Source organism: Homo sapiens, chromosome 1, assembly GCF_000001405.40.
Source record: "Homo sapiens chromosome 1, GRCh38.p14 Primary Assembly".
Classification (NCBI taxonomy): Eukaryota; Metazoa; Chordata; class Mammalia; order Primates; family Hominidae; genus Homo; species Homo sapiens.
In genome coordinates, this window is record NC_000001.11 from 83,984,414 (window position 1) to 84,004,491 (window position 20,078).

General features: G+C 39.0%; 1 protein-coding gene and 1 long non-coding RNA gene across 8 annotated transcripts in view, besides 2 other annotated features; one reads left to right on the plus strand and one right to left on the minus strand.

Moving 5' to 3' along the window:
• TTLL7 (tubulin tyrosine ligase like 7) overlaps positions 1-14,719 on the minus strand; it is a 134,109-nt gene extending 119,390 nt beyond the window's left edge. For all 7 annotated transcript variants that reach the window (XR_007063701.1, NM_001350215.2, NM_024686.6 and 4 more), the window contains exon 1: positions 14,518-14,719. The gene's annotated coding sequence lies outside the window, so the exon portion shown is untranslated. The remainder of the gene's footprint in view (positions 1-14,517) is intronic.
• Positions 14,379-14,508: a silencer, noted in NCBI's record as "silent region_1012". NCBI's record gives its function as "represses an Ori minimal core promoter by ATAC-STARR-seq in GM12878 lymphoblastoid cells {active_cell/tissue: GM12878}" and the evidence as "EXISTENCE:reporter gene assay evidence [ECO:0000049][PMID:35858748]".
• Positions 14,519-14,618: a silencer, noted in NCBI's record as "silent region_1013". NCBI's record gives its function as "represses an Ori minimal core promoter by ATAC-STARR-seq in GM12878 lymphoblastoid cells {active_cell/tissue: GM12878}" and the evidence as "EXISTENCE:reporter gene assay evidence [ECO:0000049][PMID:35858748]".
• A 155-nt stretch (positions 14,720-14,874) lies between the features above and the next one.
• On the plus strand, positions 14,875-19,640 carry LOC124904205 (uncharacterized). The gene is made up of 2 exons (XR_007066195.1): positions 14,875-15,293; positions 18,863-19,640. It is a non-coding gene; the product is annotated as an uncharacterized LOC124904205 (long non-coding RNA).
• Positions 19,641-20,078: the final 438 nt, after the last annotated feature.

Consider the following 20,078-nt stretch of genomic DNA (forward strand, 5'->3'; position numbering starts at 1 on the left):
ACTGGATATATATCCAAAAGAAAATAAGTTGTTCTACCAAAAAGATACATGCACTTGTATAATATGTTCACTGCAGCACTATTCACAATAGCAAAGACATGAAATCAACCGAGGTGCCCATCAACAGTGGACTGGATAAATACAATGTGGTACATATACACATGGAATGCTATGCAGCCATAAAAAGAATGAGATTATATCTTTTGCAGCAACATGGATGCAGCTGGAGGCCATTATCCTAAGCAAATTAACACAGGAACAGGAAACCAAATACTGCATGTTCTCACTTATAAGTGGCAGCTAAACATGGGGTACTCACAGACATAAAGATGGCAACAGTAGACTCTGGGGACTACTAGAGAGGGGAGAGAGGGAGGGGGACGTGGGCTGAAAAACTACTGATTGGGTACTATGCTCACTAAATGGGTTATGGGACTATCCATATTCCAAACCTCAGCATCATGCAATATACCCAGGTAACAAAACTGCATATGTACCCCTTGTATCCAAAATAAAATAAAATAAAATAAAGTCTTCTAAAAGAATGTATAAAATTGATAAACATCTAGCAAAACTGACAAGGATTTTGTATTAGTCATGGTTCTCCAGAGGAACAGAACTAGTAGGATATATGACTACATATATAAGGGAGTTTATTAGGGAGAATTGGCTCACAGGATTACAAGACAAAGTCCCACAATAGGCCGCCTGTAAGCTGGGGAAGACAGAAGCTGGTAGTGGCTCAGTCTGAGTCCGAAAGCTTCAAACCAGGGAAGCCGACAGTATAGCCTTCAGTCTGTGGCCAGAGGCCCAAAAACCCCTGGCAATTCCCTGGTGCAAGTCCCAGAGTCCAAAGGCCAAAGAACCTGCAGTTTGAGGTCCAAAGGGCAGGAGAAGCAGAAGGAAGCATCCAAGGCTGGAGAAAGAAGGCAGCCAGAAGGCTCAGCAAGCAAAGCTTATCCCACCTTCTTCTGGCTGCTTTGTTCTAGCCACACTGGCACAATGAGGGTGGGTCTTCCTCTACCAGTCCACTGACTCAAATGTCAATCTCCTCTGGCAGTACCCTCACAGACACCCCTAGAAATAATACTTTACCAGCTATCTAGGCATCCTTCAATCCAACCAAGTTGACACCTAATATTAACCATCACAGATTTTTTAAAAGATAAGACTCAAGTCACCAACATCAAAAATGAAACAAAGACGGGGGACGATTGCTTGAGCCCAGGAGTTCGAGACCAACCTGGGCAACATAGCAAGGCCTGTCTCTTAAAAATAAATAAATAAATAAATAAACAAAAATTTTAAAAAACCTATCTCAACAGAATCTAAAGACAATAAAAGGATAATAAGGGAAAATTATGAATAACTTTACTGTTATGAATTCAACAACTTAGCAAAACTAATCAATTTCTTAAAAAAACACAAACTGCCCAATCTCAGGCAAGATAAAACAGATCACCTAAATAGTTCTATAACTACTAAAGAAATAATTCTGATTTTGTCATTAAATATCCTGAAAAAGAAATGTCCAGACCAAGGTGGTTTTATTATGGGATTTTGCCAAACACTCAATGAAGAATTAACACCATTTTTAAACAAACTCTTTCAGAAAATAGAAGAAGAAACACTTTCCAACTCATTTTATGAGATCAATAGTACTCTGACAACCAAAACCAAAGAAGCACCAGAAAAAGAAACTACAGACCAATATATTTCATTCACTTAGATGCAAAAATCCTTAAAATTTTGCAAACTGAATCTAACAATATTTGTGGATATATTGTGTGTGTACCTAATGTGTGTATATGTATAATGTGTGTGTATGTATAATATATGTATAAGTATGTGCTGTCATGACAAAGTGAGATTTATTTCATGTATGCAAGGCTGATTCAATATTCAAAAATAAATCAATGTAACCTACCATATCAATAAGCTAAGAAAGAAAAATCATACATCCATATCAATTGATACTAAAAAAAGTATTTGATGTAATCCAACATTCATTCAGGATAAAATGTCTCAGCATACTAAGGACAGAGAGAAACTTTCTTGACCCCGTAAAGAGCAGGTACAAAAAACCTACATAATTAGCATTACATTTAATAGTGAAAGACTGATTTCCTTCTATGATTAAGAAGAAGGCAGCCAGGCATGGTGGCTCACGCCTGTAATCCCAGCTCTTTGGGAGGCCGAGGCCGGTGTATCACCTGAGGTCAGGAGTTCGAGACCAGCCTGACCAATAATTGTGAAATCCCCTACTAAAAACACAAAATTGGCCAGGAGTGGTGGCATGCACCTGTGTCCCAGCTACTCAAGAGGCTGAGACAGCAGAATTGCTTGAATCCGGGAGGCAGAGGTTGCAGGGAGCCAAGATCGTGCCACTGCACACTATCCTGGGCAACAAAGCAAGACTCCATCTCAAAAAAAAAGAAGAAGAAGAAGAAGGCAAGGATGTCCACTCTCACCACTTTTATTGAACATAGTACAGGAAGTTCCAGCCATTGCAATAAAGCAAGAAAAATGAAGACATATGGATTGGAAAGAAATAAAACTGTCTCTATTTTCTGATGACATGATTGTCTACATTTAAAAAAAACCCTCAAAGTGAAGAACACAAGATCAACACACAAAAATCAATTGCATTTCTATATCTTGACAATGAAGAAATGGAAATGAAAATTTAAAACATAGGTATAATTTTCCAAAGAAAATTTAAAACACAGGTATAATTTTCCAAAGAAAATTTAAAATATAGGTATAAATCTAAGATAACATGTGCAAGATTTACATAATTAAAATTATAATTTGTGCAGGAAGGTTTACATGGAAAAAAAAAAGAAAAAACAAAAAAAAATTAAAAAAATATAAAATCCTGATGAAAGAAATCAATGAAGACTTAAACACCTGGGGACATGCCATGTCCATGGATTGAAAGAAGCAACGCAGTGATGATGGCAATTCTCCCTAAATCAACGTATAGGTTTAACACAATTTCAATTAACATTTGGTTAAGTTACAACAACAAAATTCTACATTAGATAGATTTTTTTAAAGTGGCTCTTCCACAGAGACAAATTCCATTGAAATTAATTTCAATTTGTAAAATAATTATGGCATGTATCATCATTACATAGTCTCAAGAATACTACTGTGGACTTTAAATAAGGAGGAAAGGAATTAGTAAACAGCAATTTGAAACAATTCTAACGATTTTTTTTAAAACTGCTAATAACAACAAATGCTACACAAGCAACAAAAGCAAAAATAAACAAATGGGTCTAAATCAACTTTAAACTTTTTGTGCACCAAGGGACACAATCAACAGAGTGAAAAGGCAATGTACAAAATGAGAAAATGTTTGCAAAACATATTATCTGACAAGGAGTTGATACCTAGAATATATAAAGAACTACAACTCAACAAGAAAAAATCAAATAACCCTATTTGTTTATTTATTCTATAATTTCAACTTTTATTTTAGATTCAGGGGGTACATGTACAGGTTTGTCACCTGAGTATATTGCATGATGCTGAGGTTTGGGGTATAATTGATTCCATCACACAGGTAGTGAGCATAGTACCCAATTGGTAGTTTTTCAGCCCACATTCTTCACCCTCCTACCTCCATATAGTAATCCCCAGAGTCTATTGTTGTCATCTTTACGTCCATGAGTACCCAATGTTTAGCTGCCACTTATAAGTGAGAACATGCAGTATTTGGTTACCTGTTCCTGCGTTAATTTGCTTAAGATAATGGCCTCCAGCTGCATCCATGTTGCTGCAAAAGATATCTCATTCTTTTTATGGCTGCGTAGCATTCTATGGTGTATATGTACCACATTTTATTTATCCAATCCACCGCTGATGGCACCTCGGTTGATTTCATGTCTTTGCTATTGTGAATAGTGCTGCAATGAACATATTATACAAGTACATGTATCTTTTTGGTAGAACAACTTATTTTCTTTTGGATATATATCCAGTAATGGGATTGCTGGGTCGAATAGTAGTTCTGTTTTAAGTTATTTGAGAAATCTCTGAACTGCTTTCCACAGTGACTGAACTAATTTACATTCTCACCAGTAGTGTATAAGCGTTCTCTTTTCTCTGCAGCCTTGCTGGCATCTGTTGGTTTTTGACTTTTCGTTAGTTGCCATTCTGACTGATGCGAGATGGTATCTCATTGTGGTTTTGATTTGCATGTCTCTGGTGATTAGTGATGTTGAGCACTTTGTCATATTTGTTAGCCAGTTGTCCATCTTCTTTTGAGAAGTGTCTGTTCGTGTCTTTGGCCACCTTTTTTTTTTTAAGATGGAGTCTCGCCCTGTCTCCAAGCTGGGGTGCGGTGGCACGATCTCAGCTCACTGCAGTCTCCGTCTCCCGGATTCAAGCTATTCTCCTGCCTCAGCCTCCCAAGTAGCTGGAACTAGAGGCGTGCACCCACCACGCCCAGCTAATTTTTGTATTTTTAGTAGAGACGGGGTTTCACCATGTTGGCCAGGATGGTCTCAGTCTCCTGACTTTGTGATCCGCCCTCCTCGGCCCTCCAAAGTGCTGGGATTACAGGCATGAGCCACCACGCCTGGCCTTTTGCCCACCTTTTAATGGTGTTGTTTTTTGTTTGTTCAACTGTTTAAGTTCTTTAGATTCTGGATATTAGACCTTTGTCACATACATAGTTTGCAGGCATTTTCTCCCATTCTGTAGGTTGTCTGTCTACTCTGCTGTTAGTTTATTTTGCCGTACAGAAGCTCTTTACTTTGGCTAGGTCCCACCTATAAATTTTTTTGCTGCAATTGCTTTTGGGGACTTAGCCATAAATCCTTCATCAAGGCAATGTTGGGAAGGGTATTTCCTAGGTTTTCTTATAGGATTTTTATAGTTTGAGGACTTATATTTAAATCTTTAAAACAGCTAGTTTTTCTACACGGTGAGGGGTAGGTGTCCAGTTTCATTTTTCTGCATATGGCTAGCCAGTTATCCCAGTATCTTTTATTGAACAGGGAAACAGGAAGTCTTTTCCATATTAGTTTTGTCAACTTTGTTAACCATGTGGCTTTATTTCTGGATTCTCTATTCTATTTCCCTGGTCTATGTGTCTGTTTTTGTACCAGTACTATGGCTATTTTGTTTACTACAGCCTTACAGTATATAGTTTGAAGTCAGGTATTGTGATGCCTCCAGCTTTGTTCTTTTTGCTTAGGATTGCTTTAGCTATGCAGGGTCTTTTTTGGTTCCCTATGAATTTTCAAATAGTTTTTGTTTTGTTTTGTTTTTTTAGTTCTGTGAAAAATGACTTTGGTAGCTTGATAAGTATAGCACTGAATCTGTAGACTGCTTTGGGCAGTATGGCCATTTTAACAATATTGATTAATCCAATCCATGAGCATGGAATGTTTTTTTCGTACTCTCTGATTTCTTTCAGCAGTGTCTTGTAGCTGTCCTTGCAGAGATCTTTCACCTCCTTGATTAGATGTATTCTTAGGCTTTGGTTGTTGTTGTTATTATTGATGTTGGGGATTTTTTTTTGTGGCTACTGTAAGTGGGATTGCATTCTTGATTTGGCTCTTAGCTTGAATGCTATTGGTGTATAGAAATGTTACTGGTTTTTGTGCATTGGTCTTTTATCCTGAAACTGTATAACAGCTGTTTATAAGTTCCAGGGGCTTTTTGGCAGAGTCTTTAGGGTTTTCTAGGTATTGGATCGTATCAATAAGGAGAGATGATTTGACTTCTTATTTGGATGCCTTTTTTTTTTTTTTTTTTTGAGACGGAGTCTCGCTCTGTCGCCCAGGCCGGACTGCGGACTGCAGTGGCGCAATCTCGGCTCACTGCAAGCTCCGCTTCCTGGGTTCACGCCATTCTCCTGCCTCAGCCTCCTGAGTAGCTGGGACTACAGGCGCCCGCCACTGCGCCCGGCTAATTTTTTGTATTTTTAGTAGAGATGGGGTTTCACCTTGTTAGCCAGGATGGTCTCGATCTCCTGACCTCATGATCCACCCGCCTCGGCCTCCCAAAGTGCTGGGATTACAGGCGTGAGCCACCGCGCCCGGCCTGGATGCCTTTTATTTCTTTCTCTTGCCTGATTGCTCTGGCTAGGACTTCCAATAACCCTATTTAAAAATGGGCTAATGCCTTGAATAGAAAGAGGATATACAAATGACCAATAAGCAAATGAAAAGATGTCCAATGTTACTAATCATAAGAGAAATACAAATCAAATCTGTAACAAATATCATATTGCACCCATTAAGACAGCTACAATCAAAATATCACAAAATAAGTGGCAAGGTTGAGGAGAAATTGTAACACCTGTGCACTGTTGGTGTGATAGTAAAATGGTGCAACTCCTATGGAAAACAATATGGAGGTTCCTCAAAAATTAAAAATAGAACTACCATATACTCCAGCAATTTCACTTCAGGGTATAATCTGAAAAAAATTAACAGCACAGTCTTGAAGAGGTATTTGCATGCCCATGTTCATAGAAGCAGTGTTCACAACAGCCAACAGGTGGAAGCAACACAACTGTCCATGGATGATGAATGGATAAACAAATGTGGTACATACTTATAACGGAATAGTATTCAGCTTTAAAAACTAAGGAAATTCTGACATATCCTACAACATGGATGAACTTGGAGGACATTATATTAAGTGAAATAAGCCAGTTACAAAAGACAAGTATGTATGATTCCGCTTGTATGAGGTATCTAAAGTGGTCAAATTCATAGAAACATAAAGTAGAATAGTGGTTACCAGGGGCAGAGGGTGAAGCTAGGGGGAGGTGGGTGAAAAGCAGAGTTGTTTAATGAGTATAGAGTTTGAGGTTTACCAGATGAAAATGTTCTGAAGGTCGTTTCACAATAATGTGAACTGTATACCTCTGCACTGTACATTTAAAAATGTTTAAGATGTTTTTATCACAGTAAAAAAAATTATACAGCCAGGCATGGTGGTTCACACCTGTAATCCCTGCATTTTGGGATGCTAAGGCTGGTGGACCACTTGAGCTCAGGAGTTTGAGACCAGCTTGGGCAATATGGCAAAACCCTGTCTTTACGAAAAATATAAAAATTAGTTGGGCACGGTGGTACACCTGTAGTCCCAGCTACTCAGGGGGCTGAGGTGGGAGGATCGCTTGAGCCCAGGAATTTAAGGCTGCAGTGAACCATTATCACACCACTGCACTCCAGCCTAGGTGACAGAGGGAGACCTTGTCTCAAAAAAGAAAATATATATATATTAAAAATAATGCTACAAAATATTCACTGGAAGAAAAATTTGCCTTTGTGGAATGCCTACAATCACCCAAATAATTATATAAATACTAAGATGTTCACACTCTTGAACTATATTATCAGGTAATTTTACTTGGAGATCTAAATCACTCTATTTATAGATATTGCTGAGTGTATTTGCTTAATTTTATTCCCAGTAGAAGCTACACTTGAGGACCTTCACACATCCTATGTTTATATTATTCTAAGTCCTTGTAGGTTCTAAAAACAAAATTCACAGATACTCTCTTAAGCACAATATGGAAGTATATGCCCTACTAGAATGAAAAACCATATTCACTTTTAATCCTAAGTCAAGGATGAAAATAGGTCTTGATGCATATTATATACTCAAGATAAATGTTTAAAAAAGAAAATGCCTCTTATTCTGAAATGTCAACCCCATAACATATGTAGCAGTAAATGTTTCTTTCTGCCAAAAATGCTCATTTGGCACTGATTTTTGACAAGGCTTTTTGCACATATATATATACAGCTCACTTAATTTTGAGAAGCACTGATCCCTCCCTTTCAAATTTTCCTTACTATTTGTCTATTTCCCTATCATTATTGTGGCAAGTTCCAGAAACAACTTGTTTATATTTTCCAAAAAAATAATGGGTTGAAAAGTATATCTATTAACTAAGGGGGAAGCTGATGTAAACTGGAAATAGGCATCACAGATTAGTTTAAAAAAAATTCAGTTAACTTGAGAAGATACTTTTTCCTCAAATACTCTAAAGAAAAAAAAAACAAAAGGACTAATAAACCAATAAAGGTTGTCCTCTTATTTACATATGACAGCAAATACTAGCATCTACTGTCAAAATTAGTATCTAAAACAGGCAGCTATAGACCAATTTCAAATCTCATTATGCTTCTGCATGCTAATTCTGCCTTGCTTTTTCTCTCTAGCTCCATTTTTCACATTGTAAAAATGGTGGAAATAATATCTGCTAATCTTTAAAATTCTAGATTTAAGAGATGCTAAAAAAAATTGTCATCTTGGATGTGATCAAACCTAAACATAAATGAAAATGCCCCCATCTGGTTTCATAAATATTAAACTGGTTATAGAAAGTATTCAAGTTCTTTTTTTTTTTTTTTTTTTTGGAAATGTTTAGTTTCTAGCTTTTCTCTCCAAAAAACAACTAGCATGTATTTGTTAGTTAACTGCAGACTGACTGGTTCCAAATATAGACTAAGATGTGTGCTAAAATTACTGTCCTGATTTTCAGCAATCATTATGAATATCACACATGGTCGTAGATTTTATTTGTTAAGTACTTTGAAAAAATAGATTTTTCAATAATAGTAATGACAAAATACACATGAAAATTTTCCCATCAAATGCAATAATTCAAATTAAACCCAAAGATGCTAACTTTTTCTACCAACACTTTACATTATGACATAGTGTTAAGACCACATCAATTAAAGAAGATTTTACACAATAAAGTTTAAGTGGAGTCATTTCACTTACAAAACAAAAATAGTCCTACCTTACATGAGAGATATATCTAAGCATCCTGAAAATTCCAATCCAACAAATAGCATTGAAATGATCTTGAAGCTGCTGCCTAGATTACTGCTGAGCCACCTTCCAAATCTAAAAATGCTCAATTTACTTTAAAAAGTCAACTTCACTACATATACACTAATGGAAGAGGGAGGAAAATGTTTATAAAAACAGCTACTGCCATACCGTTGAATTAGACATGGCGCCAGCTCACACTCTGCAAAATAGGGGGTAAGAGAGATGAAAATTTTCTAAATAATCCTTTGTCAACTATACTGTTCCATTACACATAACTAAGCAGAAAGACAAAAATAACACCAAGTTAGAAAGCTCAGGTGCTACAGCACAATTTAGAAAGAGCAAGCAATGTGGATGGTTCAATATGCCCAGTGGACCAACAATCTCACCAATTTCAAAAGAAAGGATCAGAGACCTTTGGGTCAGCCACAGAGAAGACCCAGTGAATGCTGGAGTACTTAACTCTACACCTTCAAAGGAAACATAAGCCAACTAGTTGCTTGCAAATAAAAGGTGAAAGAAAAAGGGGGAAAATTTACTTATCACTCACCATCCCAGAGCCAAAACAATTCCAATATCTTGGCTCTGTCAACTACTGTGTGTACTATGGACAGAAGTGTGTTAACAGATAAATGTCAAATAGGAAATAACAGAAATAAAGATTAGTGGAGAATACTCAAGCTTATTTAAGTTTAACTTTTCTACTTTAACTTAACTCCAGGAAAAATATTTGCTAAGCTCACTTCAACTTTGACAGATAATGCCTGAGAGAAATGGAGATAGATTTACCACCTTCTAAGAGCTTACAAACTTTTCAATAATAGGTTTCAACTAAGCACAGGACAAATTCTGCCTAAAATACTCTGCCTATGTTAATGTCCAGCTTCTATCAGAAATCCTCTTTCAGGACCTGAAAAGTGGGGTGGGAATCCTCTTTTTGGTTTATAATGTGATGCTTTTGTTTTCATTGTTTCAAGTCTCTCAAGACTGATGGCATAGTATAAGAACCTGCCTCTCTGCTCCCTAGTTGTGCCCTCAGGCACATTCATCTGCCTTGGCTCTGCTTCCACTGGCTCTCATAGACACTTAATGGCCTGCCTACCTCAATGGATTCCCAGCCTTGAAAGAGAGTGGAGGTAGGACAGTGAGGAAGCTCAGGTGAGAACCTGGAGGAGCAAGTCAGGAGCCCAAAGGACCCGTCCAACACTGGGCCCCTGCCCTTCTCATTGCAAGAAGGTAGTGCCAAGTATCCCTACAATGAATAGAGGAAACTGAAGCACAGTCTCTCTCCTGCATGAGGGGAATTTCCTCTGGTGGAAGGATACTGGGAACAAGGGGAGGGGGAGCATCTGAATGCTGAGAAGAGATGTTGGGAACTTTATGCATCTGACAATCACTGTTCTCAAAGGTCATCTCTGGCAAATGTACAGGGGAGGCAGGAGAGGTCTTTAATGTCTGTCAACTGTCCCTCCCTTACACCTTATACCTTGTGCCCAGGACTTCTGCTCAGACCTAAGCAGAGGTCCCAAATTCCTGCTCTCACCTTTGTGAATTCCCCAAATTAGAGTGCAAAAGTGAGCTCACAGCTGTGCCTTGCAATATCAGGACCCTGAAGCTGGAGACCTGGGAATCTGATATAAGAGGATAGAATAAACTGAAATTTGAAGGAGATAGATATGTGTGTTGTGGGTGAGGGAATGCAGAGGTTTACAGCTGAAGTCCACAAATACAACACTGGAACCAGAAAGTAGTCTATCACATATTCTCCTTCTCTGACTATCAACTCTTACTCACTCTCACCAAGCCTGTTCTCCAACTTAGTATCTTCTCTCCTCAGTAACACCAACTGCCTGCCTTTCTCCCAGTCTCCATGATTTAATCAGTCTTTAGTCTAATCAAAAGAAGTTGCTTGAAAGACTATAATCTGAGGAGCCACAGACAAGATTGGGTGTTATGAATTATTAATATGCAAATATTCTATAATCAACATGTAAGTATTCCAAATTGAACACTGGGAATTGATACAGTTTGGATATGGGTCCCTATCCAAATCTCATGTTGAATTTTATTCCCCAGTGTTGGAGGTGGGGGTGGGAAATATTTGAATCCTGGGGACATATCCATCATGAATGGCTTAATGCATCCCTTTGGCGGTAAGTGAGCGCTCACTCTGAGTTCTCACAAGATCTGGTCACTTAAAGTGTGTGGCACCACCCCCTCACTCTCTCTCTTGCTCCTGCTTTCTGCTATGTGACGTGCCTGCTCCCCCTTCCCCTTCAACATGATTGGACGCTTCCTAAGGCCTCCCCAGAAGCAGATGCTGCCATGCTTCCAGTACAGCCTGCAGAACTGTGAGCCAATTACACCTCTTTTCTTATAAATTACCTAGTTTCAGGTATTTATTTATAGCAATGCAAGAATGGCCTAATATAAGAACTCAGTAGTTTCAAAACTTGCTTAAAATAGTGCAACTTCAAGACCTCATACCCTTTAACCCAGAAATTTTATTTCTGAGACTCTATGCAAAGGAACTAATATTCAAAATACAAAAAAAAGCATACGCACAAAGATGTTCATCACAGTGCTATTATTATCATCAATAATTGTTTATTATGATGTCATCAATAGTGACAATGAGGAACAATTAGGCAATGATAATACATCTACCAAATGGAAAATTATGTAGTCATTTTTAAGCCTGCTATTAGGCATTTTAAACCTAGTATTAAGCCAGTTGTAATTAAATGAAAACTAAAGTTATAGAATTTTAAATTTAAAAATAATATAAAAGTAATATAGATACCATAATTAAAACTACGCATGAAAAAAGTGGAAAGAAACATGTCAAAAATGAATAGTGATTGTCTTTAGTTGGTCAAATTATGAGGGTGTTTTTTTCCTTTTTATATTCTTAAACTTTCCAAATTGTTCATAATTATCTAATGGGGGCCGGAGCTAAAAGGCAAATTCCTTTGGAAGAGGAAAAATTGTACTTGCACAGAAAACTTTTTCTCAGTTTAGTTGACAATCCTTTTAGTACCCAGGAAACAGACCATTTCCTGGAAGGGGACTCGGGGCAACAGATATGGAGAATGTAAGAAAGAGAAATGATTAACAGATCAGAAACAGATCTCACTGTCTGACATTCAAGTTTCTTCATGATCTTTCACCATGTATCCAAACAGTAGATGAGCACTTCTTAGCTGAACCTTTATGTGGCTTTCTCTTTGCCTATCAGAATCCTTCCAGTCTCTGAGACTGATTTAATTCACTTCAACCCATGAAGACTTTCCTGATCCTCTGATCATCCAAGGCTCTACTATTTCTCTTTTCTCTTAAGGTACCGCTATAGCAGTAGGTCTGCACCACCCTTTTCTGGTATTAAGCCAATTCTAAGTTATTTGTTAATTACTCACGTGTAAGTAAAATTTCCCCTGCTAGACTTTAAGTTCCTTGAAGTGGGGAATTTAGATGGTTTGCAGACTGTAGTCATTGGACAGAGGAGAGAGAGCAGTTCTAAAGCCAAGTTGGTATTATATTCATACTCTCAGTGATGTCATCTAAGTAAAATGTGCTGTCTCTGTTTTAAAATGTTGCTGCTGACCATCCATCACCAGGACATGCACTTTCCTTTTTTTTTTTTTAACAGCAGTGGTATTGTATTTTTGCTTATTCATTCATGCCAGTTCTGCTGTCCCCCTTAGGATTAAACAGATTGGATTACAAGATGCCTTGCCAAGGTTCAGGATATAGGTTATAGCCATGTAAAGAACAAAATGAAATGACTTTTAGGAATCAAACTCAAGACTCTTCACAAGACCCCACTTCTCATACTCTTGTTTGAACAACAAATATAAATTTGTGCCTCCATTTTATGTCCTTATTTAGGCAGTGGACTTTATCAATACCCCCGTTAACTTGAAAAAGAATTCTCCAATGCAAATGGTTCAATACTTTAGAAATGACATACTAAGATGACTCTGTTCCTGCCTACCATCAATACTATGTGAGTATTTAGAGATAATGAGCATCTGTACTATAGCAACCTGCCTCTTGAGACATAAACAAGAGATGCATTTCTTAAGAAAAAATCTGTAAGTCGCTAATGAAAGCAAGTCAAAGGACCCATCAACGGGCGAAGAAAGACCTAGCATCCATTATTTTTACAGAAGGAGCATAGAAGGTCAATATAATTGTTGACTCTTAACGGCAGGGTAACAACAAACTAATTCAGTTTCCCACTATATAAGAACTACATTTTACTACAACACTCATATTTCTAAACTGACTAAGAGTCAAGGCTTGTCCAAATTCCATGGCTTACTGAGTGGTCTTGAACCTTCTCTGAATTTTGTTCCTTAGTCTGTAAAATGGAGTTATCACCTGTTATGCAATATCACAGAGTTGTAATGAATCAAGTAACATTATCTTAGTATGGGTTCACCTGTCACCCTATTGTGGGGTGCAGTTCAGTCGCACACCTCATGAACTAAGTAACTATTATTACTGTAAATGTCTCCCTAACATTTAAGACAGAAAAAGATTTCCAGAGTTCTTCTTACGTTTTTAATCGACTTCTCCAACACTTGAGCATCCACCAAATATCACTGCCAAAAATGTGCTGAACATCTCCTGTTATGACCTCACTCTCCTATGTAGTGTTGTTCACATATTTTTTGCCATAAGCTTTCTAAGAAAATAGATTATTTTTCACATGATTCAAAGCATCTTTCTTTCATATTGAAGGAGCAATAATTCCTTATGCAGAAAGTTTACAGGTTGTTGTTGCTGTTGTTTGAGATTACTCCTCAATTAATTAATTCTATGTTTAATATCTAATAGAGCATATATATGTACACTTGGACACACTCCATTAATACAGTGGAAAATCCATGGACTATAGAGTCAGGAAAACCTATATTCGAATTCCTGTTCTGTGACCTTGAGAATGTAATTTAACTTCCCTGCTCCTCAGTTTCCACATTTGGTTCTGGATTATGATGATTTAATAAAATACGATATATAAAAGTAAGTGCCTAGGCTATGAAGGTATTATTTCCTACCTCTCCTAAATCTTTTCTTTCTATGCCAGGATCAATCAAACCCACCCAGAATACAAGGCAACTTTCATAGGGTATCTTTTACATCAGTCGAGGGAACGCTGCGATGTGATATAAGTGGATGATGGCATGAGTCAGGCATCCAACAGAGCAAGATGTGGAGAAAGTGAGAGGTACCTACAAGGGCCCTAGACTTCACTCGCATGTGCGAAAAGGGCATTTTGATACCCTTTCAAGAATGCCCCGCATACTCGCGGAGGCTTATACCACGATGTGGGAAAACGACGGAATTACAGAATAAACCAGCAGGGAGCCTCCTCGTTCACCCAACCCGACCCCGCCCGCCCGAGTCTCCCATCTGGAGCCTAAAAACTGAGCTGAGATCACAGCAACTGACCCCGTCCCCTCCGCCCTCTCCCTCCCCCATTCTGCCCAAACCTCTCAGGGCACGAATGGTGCTGAATCATTTGCACGAACGCAGCAGCTCCCCGTTCCGCGGCTCCCAGCGGGGACGGTGTCCCCAGAGCAGTGACAGTCCGGGGATGGGGGCCCGGAAAGAGGGCCAGGGCGGAGCCTTTGGGGACGTGGGGACATGGAAGGGGGTCGGGGGAGGATGGCGGCAGCAGGTACTCACCCGGGTGAGGAAAGCCCAGCCCGGGTCCTCGCGTCCCCGCTGCAAGCGGTCCCCCAGGTGCTCCCGCGCCTCGCAGCTTCCCCGTGGGCGGCCGCCCCGACTCGGCAGCCTGCACTGGTGGTCCGGTGCTCTCCTCCGCCCGCCCACCGCCCGTGGCAGCCACGGCTCGGGACTCCGGTGCTCGACGCGGAGTGCCTGGAACAGCTGTCGCTGCCCAAGCGGGTGGCGGCTACCGACGGGCCAGACCATTCGCCTGCTGCGGCCGGGGGTGCACGACGTGCCGAGAGGCGCGGGCGCCGGGGGCGGCGACGGTTGGGAGGAACAAAGGACTCGGGGAATCCTCTGCCCCCTCGGAGTCAGGAGGTCCTGGGGACAGGAGGGATCAACGGAGGGGCCGCTGCCTCTTCTGGGGGTTTACTGAAGACACTGCTCGAGCTTTCCCGGGCCACACACACCCCCCCCCCGTTTGCCTTGGTCCCGCTCGGGGCTCCTTTAGAACGCGGCAAACAGAGGACTTAGCAACGCGAGCGCCTGGGCGGCGCCCCTCCTCAGAGATGCGAGAGGCGCTGGCCTGAGCGCCTCCGGCCACCTCCTTCTACCTCCGGGCCCTAGGCGCCCGATCCACCTGCCTATCTGACCACAGACATCTTCCCACAAAACAGTGGAGCTTTTTGAATCTTTGAAGAGAGTCTTCAGATCTTTTATCTAAGCATCTTTGTGAAGCAAAGAATAAACGGGTATCTGAGGCCAGCTCGAAAGTTAGGAAATAAAATCAGGTGGGGCCCCATCCCGTAGATGCTGAGGGACAGCTCTGACCTAGAGTTCCTGCTAAGCAAATGTTGAACCACGGCAGTTGTAAAAAAATGTAGATTTAGGAAGCCATTTCGAGATAAAGATTTACAGAAGATTGTTGCAGAAATTAAAGAATATTCGAGGTTCATTGTTCACCATTTTAGAGTTGCGTGTCTTGAAAACGGGAAGGCAATCATGTCTTCTCATAAAATGAATTGTATAGAACTGGAAGAAGTCCTAACACATGAATTCCTTAGACTTTTGTGGTCCCTGCTTCTGTCACGCTGGGTTCACACAGGTTCATTTCAGAGCATGGTGAAGATCAGGACAAGTGTACAGTTTTCCCTGTAGAAAAAAAGAAAAGATAGAACAGAATTGGCAACTACCTATAAAATGTGATTAAAGGTAGGAAAAAAAAAGGCCCTCCAAGTGCATCCCAAAAAATATAAAATTTCACAATTTAAAGTTTTGTCCTTCGTTGAGTAAATCAACATAAATTCAGCACTTTCTATAGACCACTGTGCTGAGAATAGTCTCATTTTCATTTCTTCATTTATTCTTCTAAAAACTCCTGTGAGATTGGTAACCTGCAATAGACCTCCATACAGCCTTGCCAGCATTGGGAACTGATCTGGTCAGTGAGGGCATCTTCTCATAAAGGACACTGGTGAGAAACTGGGCTCAGGGTTTGTCGTGCTGGGTTAGTCTCACGATCATAAGCGGCAGAGCAGACATTGCCACCTGGAGTTTTTGACTTGTTCCTTTCCCCTAGAATGCCTCTGAGAACGATATACATTAAACCGTGTCACATCTGTGATTGCAACTTGAATGTGAGTCTGTTTATCCTTCCTTTGTGAGAAGGGGTTTTAGAATGGAGAGGGGGCAGTTAGGTGTCCAGGGTAGGCATCACCCTGAGGCAAGAAGAGTGATCAGAAAGAAGAAGCTGGACTTCACCCAGAACTAGCCGAACATCAGCGTCACAATACACTGTCAAGGTCACATGAGGTTGAAGAGGAATTCTCCACTGCCTTCTTGTTAATCATCTTTACATCATTATTTTCACTGTATTACACTTTACACTATGCATGCACTATTACTACATTACATGTTATCATTCTTCCATTCCTAGGAAGGGGCAAGAATTTTTCAATAAACCTATTATCATGGGTCCTCATATACCTTATCAAAAAAAATGTTAAGTAACAGAGGTATTAGCAACACTTAACGTCACCTCAAGAAAGCTTTTTGAGAAATCAGGAATAAAATTAAATTGTTTCTGTATGATATGATATTGTTACTATGTTAATGGTTGTTGTAAAGATTCACACGTCAGCAGCAGCAAAACAGAAATCCCCAAAGTTGCATGTTGCCGAGGAGCAGGAGCATTGGGTCCCCAGTGGCCAGACTGGCCTCAGGCTCAGAAATGTGTGATTCTTCTCTCCATGTGCAGTTGTTTCACTTTCAAAGGCAACAACAGGAACAGAACACATGTAGATGAGGCGTCTTCTGAGTTAGTGCTTTATGTCAGATGTTAGATGATAGGGATATAGAAAGGAATTTAGAGCCTTATGATTTGTGGTGCGGATGGGCCAGTGACATCTGCAGCAATCTGTTTGTATAAGTTGACACTCTTGGAACATATGTTTCTGAATGAAGAAAGGGGAATTTTTGTGCTGGCAGCCTTGGGAAATTGTCAAAAGAAGTGGAAGGAATGGTGTGATGCCTGCATTCCCTGCTTTCCTCAGAGTCCTCAAATGGTTTTGAGCCTGCTGTGTAAAGAACTTAGGGCCAGAAGCTAAATAATCATCTTCCCCACAAATGACTTTGTGAAATTTAAGTTCTAAGAAGTACTACTTTAGGCCTGGTGACAAATGACAGCATGGAGCTGGCAAGAGAGCCATTCTCTCACCCAACCTGAAATAGACCTCCATACAGCCTTGCCAGCGATAGGAACTGATCTGCCCAGTGAGGGTATATTCTCATAAAGAACACTGGTGGCCGATACAAGGTCAAGGTAACTTAAGTAGGAGCCCAGAGCAGTAAAGCAGGAGTGGTATTATTCCTGAGCACCTGAAAGACACTGCTGAGGATTTCTTGCTGCAAATGATGGAGACTAGGGAGGCACTGCAGGGTCAAGGGAATCATTATTAAACTCAAGATGATTGTTAAACCTTATTTAGGCACCGATATTAACATGAACTCATTTGTATTCACAAACTAGCATGATCTGGGAACATTCCAATATTACTTTTTAAATGATACTAATAAGAAGAGAGCTAGAGAGAAAGAGAATACTTAATGCCTTTGATAAAACTGCATTGTGAGCCACAAAATGTTAAATCTTGATGCAAGATATTCCAGTACCTGCTATGTGTTGGTCTCTTACCAAAGCATGTGGTGACATTAACCTCTCAACTTATTCTTGCTGAAGAGAGTGCTTAATTGTGTTGTTTCTCTTTGCGTTTAGCTAACACTTATTAAATCATTAGTGTTTGAGTAACTAGTATTATGTGAAGTAAGTACTATTATCACTCCCATTTTATAAATGAAGAAACTGAGAATTACAAGGGTGTATTAATTTGTCAAAGGTAGCACAATTGGAAAGAGACAAAGCTGGATTTCAAACACTAACCAATACATGACGTGAATATCAGCATACTTTTACTGTCTCCTGCTATAGAGAACATGTACATTGCATGTTTCTCTGCAGCAGAATCTATTTTTTATTTATTATTAAAAACCTGTTTTCAACTCTCATTTCTAAGAGGAAATGAGTCATTTCCCACAGAAGATTTAAACATTGGATACCCTTTTCTAGGTTTCTGTGCTCAGAAAAGAGACCCTGAATTTAAGAATAAGAAGTGAACCTTGTAACATAAACTTGACCAGTGATGCCTAAAATTCTTGCTGCAAAATTATGATTGCAGGAACTCCTGCATGAGACTCTGGAAACTAGATTCCTATGAAGTTCTGTAGGTGGTTCTAATGTACAGCCAAGTTTGACCAGACCATACTGGACAAAAACAATATGGGGCCTACAAAAAATAACATTCAGGCTTCTAGACTTAACCCCTTAATCCCACCTTTTATTAAGAAGGAAATAAGAGGCTGTTATTTAAAACCTACATTATGTAATTTTACATTTATCATATAAAATGTATTTATTAAAGGGTTTAGAATTTTTCTCAGTGTTGTTTTTGTCATTCTCAACAAATCTTCAAAAAGCCCCAAATTTAAAATGATACTCATTCAAAATTACTTTTATATATAGATATTGGACTTTAAGCCCTTTTTAATTATTATACGGCATTTTATATAAGACAAAAAGTCATATTGCATTAGACTTTTGTTTTAATTTTTGGAGAATTTACATGACAGTAAGTCATTTCATCCAAGAAGATAATAAGCTTTTCTAGTTTATGTTTTTTCATTTCCCAATCATATTTTTATAATTTTGCTTATATATGTTCTGTAACTTTCTTACCAAAGTTGTACCAAATTTTTTATAGCACTTGTATTCTGAATGAAATGTTCTTTCCATTTCCTTTTGTAGGGTCTTCTACCAGAACAGAGAGATGATGCTTTCTGTAATTTATTTTGTATTCATTCAGTGCACCAAATTATCTTATTACTTGTTTTTTCATGAGTCCCTTGGATTTTCCAAGAAAACAGGCATATCAGCAATATCAAGAACTTTGTTTCTGGCTGGGCACAATGGCTTATGCCAGTAATCCCAACACTTCGGAAGGCCAGCGTGAAAGGAACACTTGACCCCAGGAATTTGAGACCAGCCTGGGCAACATAAGGAGATCTGTCTCTATAAAAAATAAGAAATTAGCTGTGCGTGGTGGCACCAGCCTACAGTCCCAGCTACTCAGGAGGCCAATGTGGGAAGATCCCTTAGTCCAGGAGTTCAAGGCTGCAGTGAGCCTTGATCACGCCACTGGCTCCACTCCGAGCAACAGAGTGAGACTGTTTATAAAATATATAAAAATGTATATTTGTTATAATTTATACCAGTTATTTTATTTATATTTGTTAGAATCACTAATGTAAGTGATTGTGGTGATGCCTGATTCCAGATTTTAAGTGAAAGATTTAATTTTTGTGATTTGGGATGATGTTCGCTATTGGGCTTTCCTTTATTATAAAAGAAATTTTTTCTGATTCTATTTTGCTTAAAGTCACTTGACTTTTATCTGATGCCTTTCCACAACTTATTGATAATGGTTGGGCTTTTTCCCTTTAATTTTTAATGTAATCAATATGTAGCTAGACTTCCTGATATTGAACCGCCTTTTCATTCCTCTAATAAAGCCTATTTTTTCACACCATGTTATTCACGTGATTCATTCCTCTATTGTATTCTCTGTTATTTAAACATTTGGCAGCTATATTCAGAAATGAAATCAGCCTGTACTTTTAATTGTTGTTTTACTCCTTCTTAGGCTTTGGTACTCAAGTTAGTCTGGCTTCATGAAATTAACTGGGGAACTTTCCATTTTTTTCTAAGACTTACAATAGTTTAAATAATATTGGAATTATCCGTTCTTTAATAGTTAGATTAAAAATTCAGCTGTGAATTCATCTGCCTGTGGCCTTCTTCAATAGCAGATCATTAATCACTTCTCCAATCTCTTCTGTAATAATTGGTCTATTCAAGTTTTTCACTTCTTCTGTGTCAGTTGTGATCATGTATATTTTCCTAGGAAAGTATTCACTTCTTCTAGGTTTTATTTTCCTAATGTGTTGCTAGGATCATCTTTAGT